Source organism: Homo sapiens, chromosome 19, assembly GCF_000001405.40.
Source record: "Homo sapiens chromosome 19, GRCh38.p14 Primary Assembly".
In the NCBI taxonomy this organism is placed as follows: domain Eukaryota; kingdom Metazoa; phylum Chordata; class Mammalia; order Primates; family Hominidae; genus Homo; species Homo sapiens.
In genome coordinates, this window is record NC_000019.10 from 51,608,131 (window position 1) to 51,630,613 (window position 22,483).

The 22,483-nt window shown below is 44.7% G+C and overlaps 1 protein-coding gene, 1 long non-coding RNA gene and 1 pseudogene across 4 annotated transcripts, besides 2 other annotated features; 2 read left to right on the forward strand and 1 right to left on the reverse strand.

Annotated features, from left to right (window-relative positions):
• Nucleotides 1-2,829: 2,829 nt before the first annotated feature.
• SIGLEC5 (sialic acid binding Ig like lectin 5) lies at nucleotides 2,830-22,271 on the reverse strand. 3 transcript variants are annotated; one of them, NM_003830.4, is made up of 9 exons: nucleotides 22,169-22,271; nucleotides 21,703-22,086; nucleotides 21,228-21,506; nucleotides 20,908-20,946; nucleotides 19,704-19,961; nucleotides 19,332-19,616; nucleotides 19,019-19,118; nucleotides 17,902-17,983; nucleotides 2,830-4,292 (listed from the first exon to the last, which is right to left on the reverse strand). In NM_003830.4, the coding sequence occupies exons 1-9, from the start codon at nucleotides 22,203-22,205 to the stop codon at nucleotides 4,101-4,103; spliced, it is 1,656 nt and encodes a 551-aa protein (NP_003821.1). In that variant the 5' UTR covers nucleotides 22,206-22,271; the 3' UTR covers nucleotides 2,830-4,100. The 3 variants fall into 3 exon arrangements, with proteins under 3 accessions (NP_003821.1, NP_001371638.1, NP_001371637.1); NM_001384709.1 differs by lacking the exon at nucleotides 19,332-19,616; NM_001384708.1 differs by lacking the exon at nucleotides 17,902-17,983.
• Nucleotides 4,816-7,586, forward strand: LOC124904753 (uncharacterized). Its single transcript, XR_007067313.1, has 3 exons — nucleotides 4,816-4,863; nucleotides 5,699-5,919; nucleotides 7,294-7,586. It is a non-coding gene; the product is annotated as an uncharacterized LOC124904753 (long non-coding RNA).
• Nucleotides 7,537-7,686: a silencer, noted in NCBI's record as "silent region_10989". NCBI's record gives its function as "represses an Ori minimal core promoter by ATAC-STARR-seq in GM12878 lymphoblastoid cells {active_cell/tissue: GM12878}" and the evidence as "EXISTENCE:reporter gene assay evidence [ECO:0000049][PMID:35858748]".
• On the forward strand, nucleotides 13,012-13,571 carry RPL9P33 (ribosomal protein L9 pseudogene 33; annotated as a pseudogene).
• Nucleotides 13,226-13,365: an enhancer, noted in NCBI's record as "active region_15026". NCBI's record gives its function as "activates an Ori minimal core promoter by ATAC-STARR-seq in GM12878 lymphoblastoid cells {active_cell/tissue: GM12878}" and the evidence as "EXISTENCE:reporter gene assay evidence [ECO:0000049][PMID:35858748]".
• Nucleotides 22,272-22,483: the final 212 nt, after the last annotated feature.

A 22,483-nucleotide genomic window follows, 5' to 3' on the forward strand; every position in this document is an offset into this window, starting at 1 on the left:
TTGGGGAACAACTAGCCCAGGGTTGGCGCTGTCCATGGTTCTGCACCACAACTGTGCTCTGAGTTCAGGAAACTCCCAACTCTGCCATGGACACGAATTTACAAGCACACGGTTCTGAGCTGTAGGCCAGCGGGGCACCTAAGTCAGAGAGGCTTCGAAAAGGCTGGGTCCCTTTTGGGAAGGAGAGGCCAGGGAAAGAGACTTATCGCTGTGCTTTTCCTCTCACTCCTCTTGTTGAGCTAAGGATCATTCTTTTGAATTGTAGTACCGGCCTGGCTAAGGGACAGGGAAGAACAAGGTATTTTTCTGAAGTTCCAGATTATGCTGATGTTGCTGGCTCTTGGACCACGCTTTAAGTAGCAAGTCCGTGCCTGGATCTCCTCTCGGATAAGGGTTTAGGAAAGAGATGGACATTCACTGAAGCTCCCCAAGTTCCAGACTCAGGGCTGTGCTTTTCTATATATGCCTCATTTAATCTTCATAACCAACCTAAGAGAGGTTTGGTTAATAATTCTCATTTGACAGAGTGGGAAACAGAGACTGGATGTATACGCGATTTCATGGGGTCTCACATTATTGGTGCATATATATATGTGTGTGTGTGTGTGTGTGTGTGTGTGTGTATATTTTTTTTCTTTTTTTTTTTTTTTGAGACAAAGTCTCACTCTGTCACCCATGCTGGACTGCAGTGTCATGATCTCAGCTCACTGCAGTCTCAACCTCCAGGGCACAAGTGATCCTCCCATCTCAGCCTCCTGAGTAGCTGGGACCACAGGCACCTGCCACCATGCCCAACTCATTTTTGTTTATTTTTTGTAGAGATGGGTTCTTACTATGTTGCCCAGGCTCTTCTTGAACTCCTGGGCTCAAGCGATCATCCCATCTCAGCCTTCCAAGTAGCTAGGACCACAGGTGTGTGCTTCCATGCCCACTAACTTTTTTTTCTTTTTGTAGAGACAGGGTCTCACTACATTGCCAGACTCGTTCCAAACACCTGGGCTCAAGTGATCCTCCTGCCTCACTCTCCCAAAGTGCTGGGATTACAGGCATGAGCCACTGAGCCTGGTGATATTTTCCACTGTGATGTTGTCAAATCTATCAAGATTTTTGGTAAGAAGGATGAGTTTTTATTAACTTTTTGTCATAATCTCCTTAAAGAAAATTATTTTTTCTTCAAAAAATTTAAGAAAAGATGACTATCAGAAGATCAGACATTTCCTAGCTTGCAATATTTTTCCATGTTTGTGTTATCAGAAATATACTTACCATTCACATTGTGTGATCATCTGTTATGCTGAGAAATAGAACATGCGGGCACCCCAGGAATCTTAGAACCCCTCTTTGTTTCCCACCCTCCCTGACCTTCTTATGAGTACCACCTTGCTGATATTTGGGATTATCCTTTTCCCTGCCTTTGCCCATAAGCATAATACCTGTGTATATATTTTTAAGCAAGAATAATTGCTTTAAACATTCACACAAATGGAACAATGTGGTAATGTGTATTTTGTATGGCCAAATAGGACTGCACTAGCTTTCCTTTTATTAATGTCGGCATAATATACTTTCACTTTTGGCCTTCTCTATCCTTGTACTTTACGTGTATATGTTGTAAAGATCATATACTTGGAATCCATCCAAGTGGACTCTGTTTTAAACTGAAGCATTTATCCAATTATATTTAACATAAATATCCCATGTTATATTTTGTTTTCTGTATGTGTCACCAATTCTACATTACTTTATTTCTCCGTTTTGTTTGTTTGTTTTGTTTACTAAGTAATTTTGTTGTTGTTTGGCTTTTTGTTTGTTTTTTGAGACAAGGTCTCACTCTATCACTCGGCTTACTGCAGTCTCCACCTTCCGGGCTCAGGTGATCCTCCTGTCTCGGCCTCCCAAGTAGCTGGGACTACAGGCATATGCTACCATGCCTGGCTAAATTTTTTGTACTTTTTTGTAGAGGTGTGTTTTGCCATGTTGCCTAGGCTATTCTTGAACTCCTGGGCTCAAGTGATTCTCCACCCCTCGGCCTCTCGAAGTGCTAGGATTACAGGTGTGAGCCACTGCGCCTGGCTGGTTTACTAAGTTTTTAATAGTATACCTTTAGTGATCACTAGGTTGAAAGTTATATATTATGATTCTGTTCTTTTAGCCGTCATGAGAAAAATTTACAGCATGCCTTATTAACCTATCAAAGTCTTTAGTAAATGAAAACCTCTCTCTCCTCCTGGATAATATATGGATATTGGGACATGTAAAATACACTTACCTTGGTACTTAACTATTGTGATTGTCAGGAATTCTAAACTATCTTTTGTTTTTATTAAAGCTCCCCCATTTACTTGCTCTGAAAGATCATTATTGCTTTCTCATTTTTGAGTTGACTTTACTGAGTATAGATTGCAAATTGATGTTAGAAATAGTATTTGCCTTCTTCTACTCTCCAGGTTGCTACTGATAATTCAGTTGTCAATTAAATGACTTTTCTTTTGAAGGTGATCCTTTTTCTCTGGTAGCTGTTCAGATTTTTTTCCTTGTCTTCAGTTTTGATTCAGCCTTACCTTGACACAAACCCAATGTAGGGATGGTCTCTTTTGACATTTGCAACCTTTCGCTGGGCCACAGACTTAACCTTCATTTCCAGAGCCACATGCAAGACCAAAGAACCAAAGCTTCCTTTTTCAATATGAGCAAATGCCCCTGGGAATTTTGGCTTAGTGATTCTGCTTACTTCTCTGGGTTCAGCCTTTCCCCAGAATTTTGGCCTAAGTTTCCATTTTCTTTTCAGGCATTCTATACTATTTAAGGGAAGGATTCTTTTTCTACTCATTTTTTCCCCAAAAGATTTTATTATTTTCAACACAAGGCTTGATCAAAATTATCTAACCTGTCATAACCAAAACAGTAGTCACAATTCACCTTCTTTACAGTGATGAAAATGAAGTTTGGGTGGTAGATATTGAGAATCAATGTCCTCCCAGTACTCCACTGGAATTATCCACTCATTTCCTCATGACCACTTGCTGAAGTTTCTAACATTGTCATTTATCTGGGTTTGGAGATACCCTAGATAAGTAACTGGAGAATTTTTAGCTGCTTTTGGTTTAGCATTTTAAAAAATAAATTAGTTCAATTTTAGAGGAGGGAGAGTATAAGTTCTTTCTTCAGTCCACTCTTCCAACTCAAGACCACCCATTAACTCATGTTTGGAGGAAAAGATAGTGTAAGCCAGATGAAAGCAAGGAGGCATGGCTTCCAGGAGGAGGAATCTCAAATTGCAAAGACAGTGTGGTATGAACCAGCATGAAAGGCTTAAGGAAGGGTTAGGCAAGAGGAAAGTATAAATGAATAGATAGCAGGGAGATCATGAAGGACTTTATGTGTCAGGGGAGATGCTTGTGATATATTGTCTAAGGCCAGGGGGCCGTGAATGGGTTTGGGCAGGAAAGAGTTAGACTCAACTCTTTGGCTGTTGGAAGGATTCCTATGGGTCTCATAAATGAAGGACTGGAGCCAAAGGAATATGATGCAAGGATTGCAGGTAAAAGTGGGCAAAGATATGACTCTGGCAAGGATATAAGATCCCACATCATGAACCAAGTGCCAGGCTGAGGGGCTGGTCTTTCCTAGGGAGTCTTCGAAGAGTTTTGGGAAGGGGAGTGACACCAACATATTGCTGCCCTGTTTTTTGTGCCTGGTCATCCCCAGCCTTGAGAGAACTTGCCAGCAGGACCTTTCTATTCAAGGAAGAGAGACCAGAAAGCACTGAGCACAACGCCCTGTTCCAGGACCCATGTTGGTTGATTTCCATGTGTTGATTTCTTTAATGTTCACAACAACCTTTGAGGTAGCATGCATGATCTCTGATTTACAGAATGGGAAACTGAGGCACAGAGGGATGCAGTGAATTGCTTGATGACAGTGCCAGGGCCTAGATTTGAGCCCACCTCTCTAATTCCATCTGCTTGGAGCACTTAAACATCAGTTAATGTTAACATTGCCACAAGGGCTCTTCGTGCTTCAGCAAGTGGTCCCTGACTTGTCCTTTCCCCCAGACAGGCTGTGGCTCCTCCAGCCAGGACTGAACTCTGGGCAAATCCTCACTTGCTTGTCTTGATCTCCGAGTACTCCGTGGTGCTTGGGGCCTCCTGGTCCTTAGGCTCCCTCGACTTCATCTCAGAAAAACTAAGGGAGGCATAATGGAGCTCCTTTTGTTCTTCCAAGGGAGGGGCATCCCCAGGAGGAGATGCTTGATCTCCGGGGCTGTCTGGCCAGGGCTTCTTCCTGGAACCCTGAGTAAAGGGGAAGGAAAGGTGTCACAGTAGGAATAAAGAGGCAGGTGTAGAATAATGAGTTCTTATATTTATATGTTGCCTTGGGATTTATTTTGAATGTAAGTTGGACTTTCTCATGCCAGAAGCAGGGCTTAGTCACCTGGACACAATTTCCAATTCTCTACCTCCTCCCAGTTCCCCAAGGTGGTTAATCCAAATGTCTGCCTTATACAACCATCTCCTTGTGACCAGCTCCCTATGGGACATACAGCTACAACCTACTTGACTTACGTATTGACTCCTGTGTCCCTCATAGGCTGCGCAGATATACTGCAGCAACCACCTCTCAGTCACAGTGTGGCTCCACAGAACTCCTGCCTGCTAGCTCTAAACCCCCAGTTAGAACTCCCTGTGGGAAGCCTGCTTAGATTATGCCCTGGACTCTAATTAAGGCTTTGGCTCATGGGTTCTTCTCTCTCTCTCTCTCTCTCTTGCCCCCTACCCACTGGATGAGCACTTGCGTCCTGGTCAGTTCCCTCCTTTCCATTCGCCCTTCCAGGCTTGCTGTGCTATCTTCTCTCTGGGACCTGTGAGTAATAAACTGCTTCTGTTATTTCATGTGTTTTGTTGTGCTGTCTCCTCTGTGTCCCACCCGCCCAACAGACCTGAACCTCACTTCTTTTCTGGTCAAGGCTCTCCTAGAGAATAGCTGTCTTGGTGGGAATAAACCGGACACAGGTCATAGGAAAGCTGCAAGGGAATCTGCCAGGATAAACAAGTTTGCTGTGAGAGGGGGTCACAGGCTGGGCACTCAGGCAGCAGGTGGTGTGCCAGGATAAAGGAGTATTCTGTGAAAGTCACACTGTGAACATGATGGCCAGATCTCTGGGGTTCCCATTCAAGGCCGGGCTAGATTTTATGACCACTCCCCAAAGAGAGACCTCAACACCAAATAAGAGAAAAATACAACAAATGGTTCCCACAGGGAAGTTGGGCTGATGTGACATTTATCAATTCATCCTTTTATAATCCACTCCTCCTAAGGACAGGCCATAGGCTGCCTAGGTCAGGGTCTATGTCTGATTTCTCACACTGTACGTGCCCAGGAACCGGCACAGGGCAGACAGGGCTGGGTTCAAATCCCGGCCCCACCTGTCCATATACATTTCCTGTGAACTCAACTATTCGCTCATTCTTTCAAAATTTTGTAATACTATGATTGATCAGACCATATTGAGGACTTACTAATCACATTGAATCATCACCAAAAAAAAACCCACAACAGTATAAAAGATATTCTAATTATCCCCACCTTACACACAGGGAAACTGAGGTGGAGAGAGGTTAAGTAGCTTGCCCAGGGTTATTCATCTAATACATGGCGAGGCCAGGATTCGAACTCAGCCCTGTCTCCCCTGTTTCAGGTTCTGGGCACGTACAGTGTGAGAAATCAGACATAGACCCTGACCTAGGCAGGAGGAGCGGATTATTGATGAAGCAAATGTATACCTTCGGCATAGGTTACAAGGTGTCTTATGTGCAAACCAGAAAAGAGATGGCAATTCTGATCCTGGACCCAGTTTCCATGAAAGAGAAACAAAATGGAGCAGATCCTGTCCCCAGCAAAGATGGTAACCAGATACAAGTAAGCAATTTCTTTCCTCTCCCACCTTCACCCATATCCCTACCCATCACGCTATGGAAAATATGTTGAAAGCAACGTGAGTCTTCAAACAGTAGCTCAGAAGTTTTCTTTTTGAGACAGAGTTTCACTCTGTCATCCAGGCTGGAGGGCAGTGGTGTGATTTCGTCTCACTGCAACCTCCCGTCCCTGGCTCAAGCAATCCTCCCACCTCAGCTTCCTGAGTAGCTGAGACCACAGGCACAAGCCACCATGCCCAGCTAATTTTTGTAAAGACAGGGTTTCGCCACGTTACCCAGGTTGGTCTCAAACTCCTGGGCTAAGCGACTGGCCCAGCTTAGCCTTCCAGAGTGGTGGGATTACAGGTGTGAGCCACCACACCTGGCCATACAGTTTTTTTAAAAGGACTCCGCAGTTAGGGAAAAATGGCTTCATTGTGTCAGAAAAAAATAGACTTTCTGGAGAGAGCTGCTTATATTAGGCACAAGAAAGATGAAATAAAATGAAAAAGTGGCTATGCACACCAGCATTATGCAGGCAAAGGAAGAAATAAAGACATATGTCTATCAATAGGTGTGCGGTATATGAAATAAAAAGGGTGAAATTGACAACTGAAAGAAAAGGCACAGCTCAGATTAGTAAATAGGACAATGCAGTATGTTCACCCTTTCACTCAATAGCTCTTTGCTGAGTGCTTTCTTTGGGCTAGATGCCGTTCGTATAAATGAGGACATAAAGCAGACTGAAACCACCCAAATACCTCCCCGTCATGCAGTTCCTTGTTAGACAGAAGGAAAAGTAATACTGGGTAACAGTTATAAGTGAGCTCCCTGTGAGCTTGCCACTTTACTAAGCACTCCTTGTAACAATCCGAGACAGATACTAGCATATTAATAACCCAATTTCTATAGGAGAAAACAAAAAAACAGAGAGGTTCATTAGCTTATCCAAGGTCACACAGCTTGCAAGTGGGTGAATCTAGAACCTGAATGCAGGACGTCAAACTCCAGGGACCATGCTGTGCCTCGCTTTACCATTCTGCCTATGGCATGAAAGTGTGCAGAATGGTTAAAGGTAAAATAAAGGAGAAAACAAAGCTCTCTCTACCATAGTTCTTGTCAAAAGAGTGAATTCATACACCGGCTCTGTTCTCCAAGACCTACCAATGATGGAACTAAAGATGGAGCTCCTGGGTGAACAAAACTTTACAAATCAATTTATGATCAATCAATCACACTGATATCCCTAGGGGAAAGTTAAGGCTCATTTGAAGAAAAGGGGTGGGAGAACTGGGCGGGGGGACAGCTGGCTTGTTGAGAGGATGGGTTAGCCCAAACATACTTGAATTCTGCTCCTTTCTCTCCTCTACCCTTCCAGTGGGACAAACATTGTCTGCCCCTCACTGCAGAATTCAGAGTATGGACAGGATTATGATGTGCCAGTGTCCAACAGGCATGTGTTGGGTAAGCACCAGAGGCCCACTGGGGTGAGGAGAAGGAGAACGGAGGTGGAAGCTCACTGGTCTTTGACATTCTCCTTGCCATTTTCTCCACTCCAAACTCCCAGGGCTGGTGGATCACAATGCAACGAGAGTCCTTGACCAATGTTGCTTCTCCACGAGGGTCTGAAGATGGAGGGATGACTTAAGCTGCCTTACTGGGGTGATAGGAAGTGGGACTGGTTGGGTGTGGTTTGGGTTCTTGAGGGGATCCACCCTGGGGCTTGTCCCAGTCATTTCTCTTTTTTTGAGACGATGCTTCACTGTTGTTGCCCAGGCTGGAGTGCAATGGCATGATCTCGGCTCACTGCAACCTCCACCTCCCAGGTTCAAGAGATTCCCCTGCCTCAGCCTCCCGAGTAGCTGGGATTACAGGCATGTGCCACCACACCTGGCTAATTTTGTATTTTTAGTAGAGACGGAGTTTCTCCATGTTGGTTGGGCTGGCCTCAAACTCCCGACCTCAGGTGATCTGCCCACCTCGGCCTCCCAAAGTGCTGGGATTATAGGCGTGAGCCACCGTGCCCGGCGTCCCTGTCATTTCTTTGGCTCAGTAAGCCTGACACAGGCCAGCATCTGCCCTTCCCTCATTCAAGAAACACTGCCAGAGTAGCCAATAACCCCAGGGGAATGTGAGCTCACAGCTCAGAAGGCTGGGCACCTTTGAAGAAAAGCAAACCAACAGAACCTGATAGACCACTAGAAGCACAAGTACTAGGACGCTTTGGTCAAGAAGCTAAACTGAGCATATTACATGCACTAAAAAGATGTGGCAATATTAGCAGCATGAAAACAAGCATAAGAAACTTTGTCAATAACAAAGTGTGCATGCAAAATGAATGTGAAACATAATAAGGAATTATGTAATTGTGTACTTGATGCAAAAAGGGCCATGTGGAAATATCTGAAAAATATCATAGGAAGAGCCCAATGGATGGGATGGAGAATAGAATGACTATAATTGAGGGCAAATTAGTGAGCTAGAAGGGCCGTCAGAAGTATCCCCTAAAAGGAAGTAGGGAAGGATGAAGACTAGAACATATGAGAAAAAGGTTAAGATAGATGGAAGATAGAAATAGAAAACTGGCCAGGCGTGGTGGCTCATGCCTGTAATCCTAGCACTTTGGAAGGCCAAGGCAGGCAGATCACTTGAGGTCAGGAGTTCAAGATCAGCTTGGCCGACATGGCAAAATCCTGTCTCTAAAAAAATACAAAAATTAGCCAGGCGTGATGATGTGCACCTGTAATCCCAGCTACTCGGGAGGCTGAGGCACAAGATTCACTTGAACCCAGGAGGCAGAGATTGCAGTGAGCCGAGATTGTGCCACTGCACTCCAGCCTGGGCAACAGAGTGAGACTGTCAAAAAAAAAAAACAAAAAAAAAAAACACTTGAACATTTAGATAATAATAGTTTTCAAATAAGATAAAAAAGAAATAGGCCGGGTGTGGTGGCTCATGCCAGTACTTTGGGAGGCCGAGGCTGGCGGATCACAAGGTCAGGAGATCAAGACCATCCTGGCTAAGACGGTGAAACCCCGTCTCTACTAAAAATACAAAAAATTAGCCGGGCATGGTGGCGGGCGCCTGTAGTCCCAACTACTCGGAGGGCTGAGGCAGGAGAATGGCGTGAACCCGGGAGGCGGAGCTTGCAGTGAGAGGAGATCGCGCCACTGCACTCCAGCCTGGGCGACAGAGCAAGACTCCACCTTAAAAAAAAAAAAAAAGTAGAAAAGGAAAAATATTTGAAAAAAATAGTGGAAACAAAATTTCCAGAGTTAAAGAAGATGAAACACCTCAGCTGAAAGGGCCCCACGAGTGCAAGAAAAAAGATGCAGGGAATCCCATGCCTAGACACAGGACAGTGGATCTTAAGAATATCAGAACCAAAGAGAAAATTATAAAAGTTTCCAGGGAAAATGAGTGGATTACCTACAAATATGTGAGATTAAGAATGACGTAAGATGTCTTAACAGCAATACTAAATGCAAGAAACAGTGGGGTGGAGTTTAAAGCACCAAAGGAAAATCACTTTAATTTTAGAATGTATATCCTGCCAAATAAAATTAAAATGTAAGGGGATAAAATATATTTCCAGGCATATAAGTCTTCAGAAGCCTTGAGGAACCCAAACTGAAAACCCACTGGGGGGAAGAATTCAAATAAAAAGAGAGAAAGAGAAAGAAGAACAGAAAATCTGTGATAAGTATGGAATAGAAAGGTGACAAAATACCTCAACAAAATGTGTAGCTGTATATTTTTTAAAAAATCAAATAATAGAAAAATGCTAAGTATGTTCATAATAACACAGAACAAAAACTGCACATTTGTAGAAAATATCAACATTGTAAAGAGTTGAAGGAAGAGAGGCCAAGAGATATAAAAGCGCACCAAAATTCTTTTTGTTAGATGTAAGACAGAGATATTAATTTTTTTTTGAGGCGAGAGTCTTGCTATGTTGCTCATACTAGATTCAAAGTCCTGGGCTCAAGCGATGCTCCTACCTCACCCTCCCAAGTAGCTGGAATTACAGGTATGCATCACTGTGCCCGGCAAGATATTAAGCTTCTAAGTAAGAAAGGAGAAAAATGAAATATTGAAAAAGTGGGACTAAGTGAAAGTAAAAGGTAAAATAGTAGAAAGAAATCCACATATGTCAGTAACCATAATAAATACCAGCAGAGTAAACTCAACAAGGGATGTCAAATTGGATTTTTTAAAACCTGGTTATATACTGTTTACAAAAATCACTGGTAGAGCATAAATACATAAAATGTTGGGAGGATGGGAGAAAATGAAAAAGTATCAGGCATCTAACTAATCAATAAGAAACTAGAGTAGCTATATTAAGATCCACATGCCGCTTCATTCCAGCCCGCATGAGTGAGTGAGACCCTGCCTAAAAAAAAAAAAAAAAAAAAAAAAACATCCAGTCGAACAGACTTTAAAGCAAAAAGCATCATTATGAGCCGGGCACAGTGGCTCACACCTGTAATCCCAGCACTTTGGGAGGACGAGGTGGGCAGATCACTTGAGCCCAGGAGTTCAAGACCAGCCCGGTCAACATGATAAAACCCTGTCTCCACTAAAAATACAAAAATTACCTGGGCATGGTGGCGGGCACCTGTAATCCCAGCTACTCAGGAGGCTGAAGCAGGAGAATTGCTTGAACCCAGGAGGTGGAAGTTGCAGTGAGCCGAGATCGTGCCACTGCACTGCCGCCTGGGTGACAGAGTGAGACTCTGTCTCCAAAAAAAAAAAAAAAAAAAAAAAAGCACCACTATGAAGAGAAAGAATTACTATGTTTGATAAAATGTTCAGTTCACTGAGAAGATATAATGCTTTTCTAAAATATATGGTTTTAATTTAAAAGTACATCAAATATAAGAAACACAATTGTTAGAATTACAGTAAGAAATTGACAAATACATTATCATAATGTAAGATTTCAACACACCTCTCTCAAGTATTGACATGTTGGGAAGATCTGTTGACATCTGAAGATTTGGATTTGAACATTACAATTAACACACTGGACTGTTAATTTAAGAAATAAAAAATATACATTGTTGCCCAGGCTGGAGTGCAGTGGCACGATCTTGGCTCACTGCAACCTCCACCTCCTGGGTTCATACGATTCTCCTGCCTCAGCCTCCTGAGTAGCTGGGACTACAGGTGCCTGCCACCATCCAGCATGCCCAGGTAATTTTTATATTTTTAGTAGAGACGGGGTTTCACCATATTGGCCAGGCTGGTCTTGAACTCCTGACCTTGTGATCTGCCCACCTCGGCCTCCCAAAGTGCTGGGATTACAGGTATGAGCCACCGCACCCGGCTAAAAACATACATTATTCTTAAGCACACAGGGAAACATTTACAAAAATTCATTGTATACAGGCCACAGATCAAGTCTCAACAAATTTTAAAAGTAGATATCATAAAACCATGTATTCTGACCAAAAAGCATCTACTTAGAATTTAATTATGAAAGATGTTTAAAATCTTCATACCTTTGGAATTTTTAATCCCAAATAATTTAAGATTCAAAGAAGAAATCACAATGTTGTTTTAACAATATCCACAACTGAATGTTATTCAAATAATACATATCAAAATTTGTGCAATGGGATGAAAATGAAATTCTGAGAGAAATTTATCCCTAACTACGTTTTATAGAGAATGAAAATATAGACACTAAGAAGCTAAGTATCCAGCTTAAAAATTTATCAAAGATCATCAGAATAAACCAAAACAAGTAGAAGGAAGGTGCTGAGAAAATGAGAGTAAAAATCAATAAAACAGAAAACAAAGATACAGTGAGAAAATTCTACAATCCCAAAAGTTGGTTCCTTGAAACTGATAATAAAATAGGGAAAGCAATTAACAAGATTTAGCTAGAAAAAAAGAAAGAAGTCACAAATAACCAATGTCAGGAATATTTCTAAAAGGGGAAGTAATCTCGACAAAAACAAATAATATAAAGACAAAAGAATGCCACCCATATCCTTTTGTCAAAATATATATATATATATAACTTAGGTGAAAGGAACACGTCCCTAGAATAAAGCTCGCTGAAGAATACATAAAATGATTAAATTAGGAAAATTGCACATAGTGACGCCACCAGGCCCAGGTAGTTTGATAAGTGACATCTATCAATCATTCAGGAAACAAGTCATTTCAGTTTTATACACACTCTTCCAGACAGTAGAAAAAGAGAGACTAGTCCCCAATTTCTCAATCTTATCTTGATACCCAAACAGAAGAAACAGGAGGAAAAAGGAAAATGACAAGTGTATTTGACCATGCATATAGACGCAAAAGTGCTGAGCAAAAGATGATCAAACAACCTACTGGAGTATTAAAAAAATGCTATGAATAATATGGTTTTCTCCCAGGAATGCAGGAGTAGTTTCATACCAGAAAAATCTTTAATTGTCATTCCCCATGGTAACAGATTAAGTAGGAAAAAATCCTATCAGTAGATGCATTCAAAAAATACAACAGAAGTTTAGGATAAAAACTTATTTAGTGATAGAAAGGAACTTCCTTAACCTGATGAAAGTTCACAGAACCAAGTGGCAGGATATTGGGTGCATTTCCTTCAAAATCAGCAGTAGCAAAAGATGCCCATGGTCACTATGTCTACTCAACTTTGACCATAATCTCACCCAGCATATTGAAACAAGAAAAAGGAAAGAAGTGCTTAGGACAAAGGGAAGAAATAAACTGTTATTATTTTGCAGATGATATAATCATCTAATTTGAAATCCCAAAACATTCTAAATAATACCCAAGATCAATGTGTGATTTTTTTTCTTTTTGTAGAGATGGAGGGCTCACTGTGTTATCCCCTGGCCTTGAACTCCTGGCCTCAAGAGATCCTCCTGCCTCAGCCTCCCAAAGTTCTGGGATTACAGGCATGAGCCACCAAACCTGGCCTAATTTGTGATTTTGTTTTAATTGAAAAAAATTTATTTAAAATACTTCAATTTCTATATACTAGTTATTTGAACTAATAAGGGAGCTTGGCAAGTTGGAAGGAAATGAAATCAATTAAAAATGAGTTTTACTTGCTGCATTTACTGAGAGAATTATGACAATTCTCTAAATCCAGAGAGCTGACATCCCAGAGGAGATGGGTGTCACTATGAAGAGATGCACAGTTATAGTGAATCCCCTCAAGGAACCCAGCTGAGAAATTCAACCCCATCAATATAGGAAAGAAAAAGGAGAAGTTCTGTGTTGCCAAATGGTGGGGAAATGAAAGGTAACTGGCTATTCTTCAAACCATCCATAGTCACAAACTGCCCACAGTCTGAGGTGTTACACAGACTTCCGTTGCCAGATGAGGTTAGGTTTGCGTGTCCTCACTTCCTCAAAAAAAGTGATTATTCAGGACAGTGGGTCATTTGTTGAAATCTGACATCTGTTAGAAGAGAAATACATCTGCAGAGTATACATGAGGACAGGCATTTCTTGCTCAGTACCTGAAGCCCAAAAGGATGAGTTGATTCTTTAAGAAAATAGCATTACACTTGCATCAAACCCAGCTGCTTTGATTCAGCAAGCCATGACAGTTAAAAATAGGAATATCACTAATTTTTCAGATGGTATCTATATTTCTGAAAAAGAAGAGATCAGCAGGCTTATAAATAAGATCTAAGAATTCTCCAGCTACCAAAGCAAGAAGATGCTAAAGGACACATGCAAGACCAACTTGTGATTTTTTTTAATTACAAAAAAAAACCCTCTTATATTTTTTAAATACTTTCATTCTGCATTCTGATAAGGAATCAGAAAATGCACTTTTAAAAAGATAGCATTTACAATAGCAACAAAAACTGGTATTTAGGAAGAAAAATAACAAAAGATGTGTAAGACCTGTGTGAAGAAACTCTACATTATCTCTTTAAAACACTTAAAAATATTTAAAGGAATAGAGAGAGAAAGACCTACTGTCATGGATAAGAAGGCATGAATTTCTAAACAAGTAAATTTTTTCCACATTGAGCTATAGATTCAATGTATTTTTTGGAATTTGACAACCTGATTCTTTTTTGTTTTGTTTTGTTTTGCTTTTTTGTTTTTTGTTTTGTTTTGTTTTGAGACGGAGTCGTGTTCTGTCACCCAGGCTGGAGTGCACTGGCGCGATCTCCGCTCACTGCAAGCTCTGCCTCCCAGGTTCACGCCATTCTCCTGCCTCAGCCTCCCGAGTAGCTGGGACTACAGGTGCCCACCACCACGCCTGGCTAATTTTTTTTTTTTTTGTATTTTTAGTAAAGACGGGGTTTCACCGTGTGAGCCAGGATGGTCTCGATCTCCTGACCTCGTGATCCACCCACCTCGGCCTCCCAAAGTGCTGGGATTACAGGCGTGAGCCACCGCGCCCGGCCTTGACAACCTGATTCTAACATTAAAGTGAAAAAAAAAAAGGACCAAGAATGGTCAAGATACTATTGAAGGAGATTAAGGAAGAGGTTTTGCTGTACTCTATATCAGGACTTATTTTTGAATTTATAGACAGTGATGACTCAGGGACAGTAAAATTGACTATTGGAGTAGAATAGAGACCACAGAAAGAGACCGACAAATATATAGAATTTTAATACATGGCAGAATTGGCATGTTGCTCAATGGAGAAGGGAGAAGGACTATTCAGAAATGAAGGAGAAACATATATGGATCAACACTATACACCATACACAAAAGTCAACCCCAGACAGAGTGAGTACTTAAATGTCAAAAGAAAAGCATACTCTCTATGTCCATCAGTTCAATTTTTTTTTATTCTTAGATCCCACAAATATGTGAGAACATGCAATGTTTGTCTTTCTGTGCCTGCCTTATTTCACTTAACATAATGATCTCCAGTTCCATCCATGTTGTTGCAAATGACTGGATCTCATTCTTTTTTATGGCTGAATAGTACTCCATTGTGTATATGCACAACATTTTCTTTATCCATTCATCTATTGATGGACACTTAGGTTGCTTCTGGATTGTTTGCAACTCAACGGATCAATGCTTGAGGGGCTGGGTACCCAATTCTTCATGAAGTGTTTATTTCACACTGCATGCCTCTATTGAAACAGTTCATGTACCCCATAAATATATACATCTAATATGTACCCACAAAATTAAAAATAAAAGCATAAAACTTTTAGTAGAAACTATATTTGAATATCTTTCTAATCTTAGGATGGGTGAAATTTTTTTTAATGAGATCCAAAAGGTACTCAATAGAAAAGAGAGGATTTGTGAATATGATTATATTACAACTAGGAACTTATGTTCATTGAAGATCACTTTAAGAAGTGAAGACAAGCTACGCATTGGGAGAAGATATTTATATTTACAACACATACAATGAGAAAAATAGTGTAAAAATGTATAAAGCCCTCCAACAAATTCATTAAGAAAAAGTCAAACACCCAATAGGAAAATGGGATCCAGATGTGACCAGGTGTTTTATAGAAGATGAAAGCAGAGAGAGATTTTTCATCTTCACTGGTAACCGAGGAAATGCAAATCAATACCATAGTGAGATAGTAAAATAGCCTCCAAAACTGAGAAAAGCAAGTTGGAGAGATTACAGAACAACAAGATTTCCTAGGCATAGATGAGAGTATAAATGGATATAATTGCTTTGGAAAGCCATTTTTCATGACCTTGTAAAGATGCCCATTCACATGCCCAGCGATGCGGCAACTCAATCTTTAGGTGATGCTAAAGGAAAGCTCGTGTGTGTTAGTACGGTGAGACAAGGATAAGAATGTTCAGAACGGCTCAAATGGAAACAACTCAAGTGTGCATCAATATGAGCTTAGGTGATAGACACAATCATAAAATATAATATTATAAGCCGTCACACCTATAATCCCAGCACTTTGGGAGGTCAAGGTGGGTGGATCAAGACCAGACTGGCCAACATGGTGAAACCCCATCGCTACTAAAAATGCAAAAATGAGCCTTGCGTGGTGGTACATGCCTGTAATCCCAGCTACTCAGGAAGCTGAGGCAGGAGAGTTGCTTGAACCCGGGAGGTGGAGGTTGCAATGAGCCGAGATCGCACCACTGCACTCCAACCTGGGCAATGGAGTCAGACCCTGTCTCAAAAAATATATATATTATAAGCAGGAAAAATGAATACAACTGCAACTTTATACAACATGAATGAATCATAATACAATGTTGAGTCTACAAAGCAAGTCCAAGAAGTGTGCGTGGAACATGATACCCTCTGTAGATTCATAAACAATTAAAACTAAATAGTGGCATAAGCCTACATATATGTGACAACACTAGGAAGACAAGATTCACAACAGTGGTTACTGGGAATGGATCAGGGAGCAACACAGGTGGATACAAGTTATCACCAATGTGTTAGGTCTTAGGTTGGATGGTGGGTTTGCAGTTATTTATCATATTATGAACCAAAGTGAAAAAGTAAAAGTAAATGATGCTTGTTCCAGTCATGACAGCTTGGTCATGAACTAAGCATTTTGGACAATTCGTTCGGGGCAACACTAGATCAATTTTATAAAAGAGGAGAGGAGACACGCTGGACAGAAACAGCAGGAGAGAAAACTGCAGGGGCTAAAGAAGCCCCAGCCCCTGTCCTTCAAGAATTCCACAGATATTGGCCGCACGCGGTGGCTCACACCTGTAATCCCAGCACTTTGGGAGGCTGAGGCAGGCAGATCACCTGAGGTCAGGAGTTCGAGACCACCCTGGCCAACATGGTGAAACCCCGTCTCTACTAAAAATACAAAAATTAGCCAGGTGGTGCATGCCTGTAATCCCAGCTACTTGGGAGGCTGAGGCAGGAGAATTGCTTGAGCCTGGGAGGCAGAGGTTGCAGTGAGCCGAGGTTGCGCCAGTGCACTCCAGCCTGGGTGACAGAGCAGGACTCCGTCTCCAAAAAAATAAAAATAAAAAAGAATTCTACAGATATGATGAGTGGGTGGAGACAGGTAAAGGCAGTGGTGATGTGTGATGGGGACGGGGATGCATGTAGGGCTGTAAACACAGAAGAGAAGGGGCAGATATCAACAGGAGGGGAAATGACTAGAGTAGCAGATACTGAGATTAGAGCTGGAAGGATTAGATGAGGTAGTCTGGTGGAAACAGGGAAGGAAAGGTGGAAGAAACTATACTTGCAAGGGCTCAAAGTTGTAGGACAGCAGGTCCGTATGGAGACAGAAGGCCAGCGTGGCCAGGCCACGGGGCAGGATCAGAGGACAGAAACAGGCTGAAGTGGCCACCTGGTGTGGGGCAAGGAACATGGGCCTGATTCTCTAAGCAACAGGAACAAACAACAACAACATTGAAACTCCAGGCTGCCTGGGAAGTAATAGTTTTGGGGCGATGATTCTGGCAGCCTGAAGTTTGGAATGAGAGATGGAGGCAGGGAGGAAGTGAGGCAGGCTCTGTGGTCAGTAGAGGTGGGGAGGGAAGATGAGCAAAGGACAAGTTAGTTTTACTTTTAGAAAGAAGGTTGGTGGCCGGGCGCGGTGGCTTACGCCTGTAATCCCAGCACTTTGGGAGGCCGAGGCGGGCGGATCACCTGAGGTCAGGAGTTCAAGAACTGCCTGCCTAACATGGCAAAATCCCGTCTCTACTAAAAATACAAAAATTAGCCGGGCATGGTGGTGTGCGCCTGTAATCCCAGCTACTTGGGAGGCTGAGGCAGGAGAATCGCTTGAACCTGGGAGGTGGAGTTTGCAGTGAGCCAAGATCGCACCATTGCACTCCAGCCTGGGTAACAAGAGTGAAACTCCATCTCAAAAACAAACAAACAAACAAACAAAACAAAGAAGGTTGAATGGGACATAATGATTTCCTGGCTCTGGGATATGAAGGGGGAGAACAGGAGAGAAGAGAACTCCCAGGTGATGAGGGAGGAGTGGGTTTGGTGGAATGCTGAAGAGCTCAGCCTGGACTTTCCGAGTGGACATGCACATGAGAAGATCCCCAAACCACTCACCGAGGTGATGGTACCCATAATGGGGTCTTCATCATCCATTTTCTCTGGTCTCCCAGCTGCTTGCTTCCTGCGGGCTTTCACTCTAAGGAAAGAAACCAGCACAGTGCAGCTGGGACCACCCAGGCACGGGTTAGCGGGTTGTCCCATCCCATGCTAAGATGGTGAAAATGACAATGAAGCCATCCAGGCCCCGGAACTAAACTCGGAGACCTTCCTGACTTCGGAGTGAGGGCTCCATCCTCCTGGATAACCAGGGATTTGGTCAGGGTGGCCATGGACTGAATTTCCATCATATAGACCCCCTCTTACACACAAAACCATGGCAGGAATGGTCATAGCAGTGTTATGCATCATAGCCAAGAAGCAGAGGCAACCCAAGTACCCGTCAACAGCTGAACCCACAAATCAAATGCGTTCCATTTATATAATGGAATATTATTTGAAAACAAAAAGGAATGAAGTATCGATGCATGCTACAACATAGATGAATCTTGAAAACATTAGGCCGAGTGAAAGAAGCCAGCCACAAAGGACCACATATCGCGTGATTCCATTCACACAAAGTACAACTGCAACTTCAGGACAGACAAATCCACAGAGACATGGAATAGGTTAGGGCTGGGGGAAAGAAGCAGGAGTGATAGCTAAGGGGTGCAAGGTTTCTTTATGTCTTCGTTTTTCACTTTAGGCTGATGAAAATGTTCTAAAATTGATTTTGGTGACAGATGCATAACTCTGTCAATATACTTAAAGCCATTGACTCGTACACTTTCAGTGGATGAATTGTACAAAACATGTATCTCAATAAAGCTATTAGAAAAGAAAAAAAGAAAGAAGACCTCTCTGGATCTACTCAGTTCTGCTTTTTGTTTTGTTTTGTTTTTCTTTTAAGACAGGGTCTCTCACTCTGAGGCCCAGGATGGAGTGCATTGGCACAATCCTGGCTCACTGCAGCCTCAACCTCCATGATCAAGTGATCCTCCTGCCTCAGACTCCTGAGCATCTGGAACCACAAGCACACATCACCACCTCTGGCCTTAGCTCTGTGTTTCTGAGATTCAGTCTCTCCTACTCCCTACAAACACCACCCTGTACCTTCCCTGGGACCAAGACTTACATTAAAAAGAAGATGAGGCACAGACAGATACAGAGCAGGGCCATGACACCAGCACCACCAAGGGCTGCAGGAACCACTCCTGTCCCGAGGTTCGATCTCCCTGCAGAAAAGAGGGGCGTGCAATAACTCACTCCCAGGACTCAGACTCTTGTCCTCCCACCTGCTGGGCAACTTGCTCCAGGGCCCTGCTCAGACAGGAGATGAAGAACCCTGTCTCCCCACCACCAGTCCAGCCTCTCTCTCCCACCATCCATCACTCTGGGATCCATGCCCCTCCCCTCAGGCCCCTGCCCTCTGCAATACGCCCCCTGACCTTGCAGCAGCAGGACAGAGCCGCTCTGGGACCCATAGATGTTCCAGGCCTTGCAGCTGACTTTGAGGTCGGAGCTGAGCCCCCCGTGGAGGATCAGGGAGCTGTTGGCCCAGGGCCCAGCTGAGCTGGAGTTGACCTTGAATGAGCCCTGGCTGCTGTTCCCCTCCAGCGGCTTCTCCTCAAGCCGCCAGCACAGGGAGGGGGCCGGCCGGGCTCGAAAGGAGCATCTGCAGTGCAGACCCTCAGCCTCCCAGGAGCAGGAGGGGCCCAGCAACTGTGGGAGGGCTGTGGGGAGGGAGGACAGAACTCAGCAGGGGGCCTCTTCCTTCTTTAATACCATGCAGTTCCTGCTCCAGCTGCCCCCACACTCACAGTAAACTGAGAGATTCAGAAAAATTTGCAGGAAGCCCAGCGGGTGCTGAGCGCGGCAGGTGAAGCCTCCTTCTTCTGCAGACCTTACTCGACGAAGCTCCAAGATCCCGGTATTGGAGATGGGGGTGGCGTTCAGGGCAGGGGAGCCCTGGAACCAGCTCAGGTGTGCAGGGGGGTTGCTGGGAGCATCACAGAGCAGCCGCAGAGCCTGGCCCTCCAGGACCGGAAGGTATGAGGTGTTTTGCAGGATCTCTAGGGCTTTGGGGAGAGAAGGGTGGGGAAAGAGAGATGGGGCCAGGGAGGCTGACAGTCCCTATCCTTCCCTCCTTCCCAGGATCCAGATGACATCTCCCTCTCCTCCCCTGGCCTATGCTGGCTTGATTGCATCCTGGTTCAAAGGCTGGGCCTTTGCACACTCAGGAAACTGACCAAAAGTGTCTGAGTCTCATGTCTCCAGAGGAGGCTCAATATCTCACTGGTACATGCCTGGACTGTGGTGGAGAGAGGACAGAGAGCCCCCGGTGGCGTTGGGAAATACAGTCCGCTAATGTGACAGGAAATAAGACTGAGGATGCAGGAGTGGAAGGGTGAGAGAAGAACCACAGAGCTGGGCTGACTGAGATGAGAGGGGCATGGAGTGGTCCTTAGTGACTGTGGAAAGAACCAGACCACAGGAGGGATGGGAGATGGGTGGGGTCTAAAGTCTGTTCACTGCTTTGAGCAGAGTGCATGAGTGTGCACCTGTGTGCGTGTGTGTGTGCGTGTGCGGGTGTACGTACATGTGTGCGTGTGTGGGTGTATCTGCATATGTGTGTGTGGTGTATGTGCATGTGTGCGTGTGTATGTGCATGTGCCTGTGTGGTGTATGTGTGTGTGTGCATATGTGTGTGGTGTGTGTGCATGTGTGCCTGTGTGCATGTGTGTGTGTATGTGCGTGTGTGTGTGGTGTATTGCATGTGTATGTGTGTGGTGTATATGCATGTGTGTGTGTGCGTGTGTGTGTGCGTGTGTGCATGTGTGCGTGTGTATGTGCGTGTGTGCATATGTGCCTGCACATGGGGCTCACAGAAGGTGGAAGCCAGAAGGCAGTAATTCTCATTCTTGCTCTTCCCAAATCTGATTGCATTCAAGCTCTGATTCTCTACCTCTGCTCAGAGACAGACCCAGAGGCAGGTCCCAGCTTCAGAGAGGAGGTCTTTCCTACCTATGCCGTTCCTGAAGATGGTGATGGTCTGTGGAGCATCTGGGATAAAAAGATATAAACTTGGCTTCAGCAGTGAGGAGTGAGATGGGCATGGGCCCAGGAGGTACCCAAAGAGGAGCCACAGAAACCCACCAAGCGGGGAAGGCTGTCCTGTCTCACTCCCCGCAGATCCCAAGGCTTAGATCCACACACAAGGTTTCTCAAGTTATTGTTTTGTTTCTCTCTGTCTTCCTTACACACACACACACACACACACACACACACACACCCCTCACTCCCACTGCCCTTGAGGACTCAGCTGTGTCCCCAGCACCACTCACAGGAGACATTGAGCTGGACAGTTCTCTCCGTGGTCACCTGAGCTCCTTGGCGTTTCATCTGACAGGTGAGGTTGGTGCCATGGTCCTCGGGCCTGGGGGTGAGGGTGAGCTCCGAGGAGCGGGTGGTCTCGGGGTCCAGGGGGCTGAGGGCATTCCCCGTCCAGGAGAATGTGAGAGGTGGTCCCGCTTCACAGGATCCTGGAAGGCTGCAGCTCAGCCTTGTGGGGCGGCCGGACTCCAGAGGCTCCAGAAAGTGGATGTCGGGTTTCTCTATCAGGGCTGAGGAGGAGACAGGGAGATACCTGGGCCCCAGGGGCTTGAGGACGTAAGGTGTGACCCCGAGAGTGGCCAGGCCTCAGGCCCCGACCTGCCCCAAGTCCTACACCTCCTCCAGCCGCCCCTGCCCAACTCCTGTCCCTGTTCTCATACGGGGGTCTCCACGTCCCAGGGTCCTCTCCTGGGGTCCCTGCCATACCTGTCACCTCCAAGTTCAGCTTATTCTGTTGGTAGCTATATTTTACATCCCTTCCTCTCTCCACGCGGAAGAAATAGCTTCCCGTGTCCTCCATTCTGGCATCTCCGATGCTCAGGGAGCAGTTCTTCTTCTGGACATCCCCAAGGAGGCGGAATCGGCCCTGGGTCTCTGGCTTCACTCTTCTGTCTGGGTTGTTTGTGGCCACAACCTCAGCGTAGTATGGGATCTCCCCGTCCCGGAACCAGTAGACGTAGAGTGGGGGAGAGGAATACCAGGATCTCCAGGGGTAAGAGAAGGAGCAGGGCACAAGGACGCACAGGCCCTCCTGCACCGTCACCGACTTCTGCACTTGCAGCTCGTACACTGGCTTCTCCTGCAGGGACCCTGGGGGGACACAGAAGCTCAGCTGCAGCTCCAGCCCCCCTTCTCACCCCTGTGCCTGTCCCTCCTCCCTCAGCTCACTCACCCCCCCACAGCAGGGGCAGCAGCAGCAGGGGCAGCATGTCTCCATCCGCCAGGGCCCCAGCCCAGTCCCAGGTCCGGCTGTCAGGGAAGGAAATGCTCCAAATGTCCAAACGTGGGGTGGGGCTGAGAAAGCCCCGACAGGAAGCCGGAGGGTGAGTGAGAGCTGTGGACGCGCACAGAAGGGGAACTTGGGCATCACGTGCTGTTGGGGTGAGGCGGGGGCTGGGAAGCCATTCTGCTCCCACCCCGACTGGACGCCGCAGGTGAAGATACTGAGGCCCCCAGACGATGTGAGGCTTGTCCAGCTGAGGATCTG